Consider the following 5230-nt stretch of genomic DNA (forward strand, 5'->3'; position numbering starts at 1 on the left):
ATTGGAAAGTAAGTCGTAATATACAGGATTAAATAAAACCCATCTGATGAGAATTTATGGTTTGTGGGTCATGACTCCCCATACCCCTTAATAAGGAATTTAGGCCAGATAAAAAATCAGAGCTTAGTCTTTACTAGATATCTGCTGTATTTCTAACTGGACTTCCTTACTTCACTTTTGCCCCACTATATCTGTTTTCCATACAGCAGGCAACCAGTTCTTGTTAATACATAATAAATCCTGCACTACCACAAATTTCTAAAATCCAGTTTACTCAAAAGAAAATCCAAATTTCTTTCCATGACCTATACTTCCCTACATAATCTTACCTTTGCTTGTCTCCCTGGCCCTATTTCCTACATTTTCTCACCTCATTTATTCCACTCTAACCACATTTTTTATTCCTTAAAAAATGCCAAATTTGTTTTGTTCCAATTTCAAATGCCTGCACCTTCTTCCATCTGCTTGAAATAAACTTTCTCCAGATTTTCACATGACCTGCTCATTTACTTTATTACCAGTATCCGCCCAGGTGCAGTGGCTCATGCCTGTAATCCTAGCACTTCGGGAGGCCGAGGTGGGCAGATCACAAGGTCAGGCGTGCGGGACCAGCCTGGCCAATATGGTGAAACCCCGTCTCTACTAAAAATACAAAAATTAGCCAGGCATGATGGCACGTGCCTATAATCCCAGCTACTCAGTAGGCTGAGGCAGGAGAATCGCTTGAACCCCAGAGGCAGAGGTTGCAGTGAGCCAAGATCAAGTCACTGCACTCCACTCCGGATGACAAAGAAAGACTCCATCTCAAAAAAAAAAGAAAATTACCAGTATCCTTGGCAAGTCCATCTAAAATAGGATTCACTGCTTCCAACACTCTCTAGCCTTTTACTTTGCTTTACTTTGACTTTACTTTCATTTTACTTTGCTTTACTACAACAATATCTATCATGAAGGTTGATATCAAATGATAATTTAGCTGATACAATTTTTGTTGAGCCTCCAACTGTGAATGAGAAAATAAAGCCTAAAGTTCATAGTACAGCTAATGACCATTAGATATTTTCTCTGTGAAAGTTTGCTAATCAGCTGAATAATTTTTCTCCTATAGGAATAGCAATAATTATAGTGGCTCATATAAAATATGCTCATGTATTAACATCCATCTCTACTGTAAATATATAATGAGCTTTGTGTTAGTCTGCTTGCATTACTATAAAAGAATACCTGAGGCTGGGTAATCTATAAAGAAAAGGGGTTAAGTTGACTCATAGTTCTACAGGCTGTGCATGAAGCATAGTGCCAGCATCTGCTTCTGATGAGGGCTTCAGGAAGCTTACAATCATGGTGGAAGGCAAAGGGGCGACAGTGTGCCACATGGTGAGAGTAGGAGCAAGCGAGATGCCAGACTCTTAAACAACAAGCTCTTGTGTGAACGAACAGTGAGAACTCATTACTTCAGGAGGGATCTACCCACATGACCCAAACACCTCCAAATAATACAGGAATTATTAAGAAATAACTTTTAGGCCGCTAGAAAGGGTAAAGGTTCTCAGTGGAAATTTTCCTGTAATAAGAAGCAACCCCCAAACCATTTCTTTTCTAACAGAAAGGCAGCTTGAAAAACCAGGCCGGCAAGCTTTGATATGCAAATGCTGGCGATTAGAAACTGGGTCCACCCAACATGGCCAACAGGAAGAGTGCCACCCTCTCCTCCTCATCACTACATGTGCCAAGTGTCATGATTGCCTCCAGATAACATGGATATCATGGTGACCTGCATTTGCATATTAAAGGAGTAAGGTAGGAGTGCCAGGTTTTTCACGGGCTATGTGAATGACACGCCTGGTCAAACCAATCTCCTGGGCCCTATGCAAATTAGACACCTCCTCCTCCAGCCTCCTGCTATAACAAACTACTCTGCCACACACGGGGTTTCTCTCTGGGAGCCCCCCTCCCTCTGTCCCTGTACTGGGAAGCTTCTTCCTTCTTTCTTGCTTATTAAACTCTCCACTCCTTAAAACCACTCTACATGTGTCCATGTCGCTTTATCTAAAACGATGTTAGACCAAGGACCCTGCTGTTCTTCCATTCATCAGAGCAGTTATCATTTTGGTTGCATTGACCGGGAATTCATTCATCGGAGTGGTGACTATAGAGCGAGCCCCAACCTCAAATCTCTCCTTCAATTTCAAGGCTCTCTTCTTACTATCCTGTTGCAAAATTTTCCTTCTTTCTCTATCCACGGTCTCTTACTCTCTCTCTGTGAAAAGTGCAGGGAGTTTTACAGTTCAGTGAAACAGGTCTGCTAGGAAAGATGGCAAACGCAGCAGGCAGTAACTCAACAAGCCCGCTCTCTGTGGCTGCGCTGGTGAGCATATAGTATTTCTAAGCCAACAGCGCCACCTAGTGGAAGTAGAAATCCTCTTCAGGGGCCACATTTTTTACGGTAACACTGAACTTCCTTTTGCACCACCAGAAATCAGGCTCTAACCTACTTCTGTGAACCGGAAAGTTCTGCCTTCAGCAATTAGAAGTAATATGTCCTCGACCGGGCATGGTGGCTTACGCCTGTAATCCCAACACTTTGGGAGGCCAAAGCGGGTGGATCACGAGGTCAGGAGTTCGAGACCAGCCTGGCCAATATGGTGAAACCCCGTCTCTACTAAAAACACAAAAATTAGCTGGGCGTGGTGGTGCACACCTGCGGTCCCAGCTGCTCAGGAGGCTGAGGCTATTGAATTGCTTAAAACGGGGAAGCAGAGGTTGCAGTGAGCTGAGATTACGTCACTGCACTCCAGCCTGGGTGACAGTGAGACTCTGTCTCAAAAAGAAGTAATATGTCTGCTGCCACATTTTAGTCTTGATATTGTCCCATAAGCAGGAAAATGGCCATTCTGTTCCTACGCTCTTTTAAGACATCTAATCTGTTTCCTGTTAAAATGGTATAATTAGTAGGGAGATTTTAAGTTCAGAAGTTAACCAGAACCATTTTTCTGAGGGTAAATGGTTTGGCATGGGCCATAATAGCAGGCAGTCTAGCACATTGCCTCTGTTAAAGGAGCCTTGACCAAAAACAACACAGTCTCTCCAAAGATCAATTTTTCAGGGAGCCAGGTAGATCACATAGGCTTAGGAAGTCAAAGGGAATCACACAAGGCAGATAAGCTAAGGTTGCGTGGGTAAAGTGTGGTTAATCCCATTGAGAGGTGACAGCGTGCTAGCAGTCCTCACAGCTCTCGCTCGCTCTCGGCGCCTCCTCTGCCTGGGCTCCCACTTTGGCGGCACTTGAGGAGCCCTTCAGCCCACCGCTGCACTGTGGGAGCCCCTTTCTGGGCTGGCGAAGGCCGCAGCCCGCTCCCTCAGCTTGCAGGGAGGTGTGGAGGGAGACGCGCGAGCGGGAACCGGGGCTGCGCGCGGCGCTTGCGGGCCAGCTGGAGTTCCGGGGGGGCGTGGGCTTGGCGGCCCCGCACTCGGAGCAGCCGGCCGGCCCTGCCGGCCCGGGGCAGTGAGGGGCTTAGCACCCGGGCCAGCGGCTGCGGAGGGTGTACTGGGTCCCCCAGCAGTGCCAGCCCACCGGCGCTGCGCTCGATTTCTCACCGGGCCTTAGCTGCCTTCCCGCGGGGCAGGCCTTGGGACTGCAGCCCGCCATGCCTGAGCCTTCCCCCGCCTCCGTGGGTTCCTGTGCAGCCGGAGCCTCCCCGACGAGCGCCGCCCCCTGCTCCACGGCGCCCAGTCCCATCGACCGCCCAAGGGCTGAGGAGTGCAAGCGCATGGCGTGGGACTGCAGCGCCGGTGCGGGATCCACTGGGTGAAGCCAGCTGGGCTCCTGAGTCTGGTGAGGACGTGGAGAATTTATGTTTAGCTCAGGGATTGCAAATACACCAATGGACACTCTGTATCTAGCTCAAGGTTTGTAAACACACCAATCAGCACCCTGTGTCTAGCTCAGGGTTGTGAGCGCGCCAATCGACACTCTGTATCTAGCTGCTCTGGTGGGGCCTTGGAGAACCTTTGTGTGGATACTCTGTATCTAACTAATCTGATGGGGAGGAGGAGAACCTTTGTACCTAGCTCAGGGATTGTAAACGCACCAATCAGCGCCCTGTCAAAACAGACCACTCGCCTCTACCAATCAGCAGGATGTGGTTGGGGGGGGGCCAGATAAGAGAATAAAAGCAGGCTGCCCGAGTTGGTAGTAGTAACCCGCTCGGGTGTCTCTCTGCCTTGGTGGGGCTTTGTTCTTTCGCTCTTGGGGTCCATACTACTTTTGTGAATTACAGCACTCACCACGAAAGCTTGCGAGACCACGAGCCTACCGGGAGGAACGAACAACTCCCGACGCGCTGCCTTAAGAGCTGTAACAGTGACCGCAAAGGTCTGCAGCTTTACTCCTGAGCCCGCCAGACCATGAACCCACCAGAAAGAAAAAACTGAACACACCTGCACATCAAAAGGAACAAACTCCAGACGCGCCACCTTAAGAGCTGTAACACTCACCGTGAGGGTCTGCGGCTTCATTTTTGAAGTCAGTGAGACCAAGAACCCACCCATTCCGGACACACCATCACTTAGTTCATCCGCTCCCATGGCTTGGGGGACCATGCTTACAATCGTGGGTGGCACATTTAACAGGGTCCCAGGAACCAGGGAAGGAAAACAGGACACTCCACTGTGTTATTCTCCGTCGGGGGTCATAGGGAATCAAAGTAGATTAAAAGGACACTTTTATTGCTTTTCTTTCTAGATGGGTAACAGATTATCTTCAGTTTGTGCCCCTCTGGCGTGCACTCTGAAACACTGAAACTTTCTTAGCCTCAGGACATTAAAGAGAAGAGCAACTCATTTTATTTTGCACAAGGGCATGGTATTTTTACTGAAACTTTGCAAGCAGTGTAAGATCAACCCAGCTCTTTTAGGAATCATATCAGGCACGCTCACTGAAAATAATTCCCCAAAATTAGAAAAGCAACTTCCAGAGGAGCCATCTGAAGATCCCCCTTCTTTGGGGGCCCCTTCAAGTTCCCTTCTCGTTACAGCCCCTTAGGCCTGTAATAAAGGGAGACTTAGCCAATTTTCTCACAACCCTGATAGGTATATAAAAGCTTTCCAGGCTGGGCGCAGTGGCTCACGCCTGTAATCCCAACACTTTGGGAGGCTGAGGCGGGCAGATCACGAGGTCAAGAGATTGAGACCATCCTGGTCAACATGGTGAAACCCCGTCTCTACTAAA

General features: G+C 48.2%; 3 annotated features.

The window, feature by feature from the left end:
* Positions 1389-1923: an enhancer, noted in NCBI's record as "OCT4-NANOG hESC enhancer chr12:7790442-7790976 (GRCh37/hg19 assembly coordinates)". NCBI's record gives its function as "activates a minimal SCP1, AML or CMV promoter by ChIP-STARR-seq in primed H9 embryonic stem cells {active_cell/tissue: H9 hESC(primed)}" and the evidence as "EXISTENCE:reporter gene assay evidence [ECO:0000049][PMID:30033119]".
* Positions 2365-2494: a silencer, noted in NCBI's record as "silent region_4202". NCBI's record gives its function as "represses an Ori minimal core promoter by ATAC-STARR-seq in GM12878 lymphoblastoid cells {active_cell/tissue: GM12878}" and the evidence as "EXISTENCE:reporter gene assay evidence [ECO:0000049][PMID:35858748]".
* Positions 3576-3675: a silencer, noted in NCBI's record as "silent region_4203". NCBI's record gives its function as "represses an Ori minimal core promoter by ATAC-STARR-seq in GM12878 lymphoblastoid cells {active_cell/tissue: GM12878}" and the evidence as "EXISTENCE:reporter gene assay evidence [ECO:0000049][PMID:35858748]".

Source organism: Homo sapiens, chromosome 12, assembly GCF_000001405.40.
Source record: "Homo sapiens chromosome 12, GRCh38.p14 Primary Assembly".
Classification (NCBI taxonomy): Eukaryota; Metazoa; Chordata; class Mammalia; order Primates; family Hominidae; genus Homo; species Homo sapiens.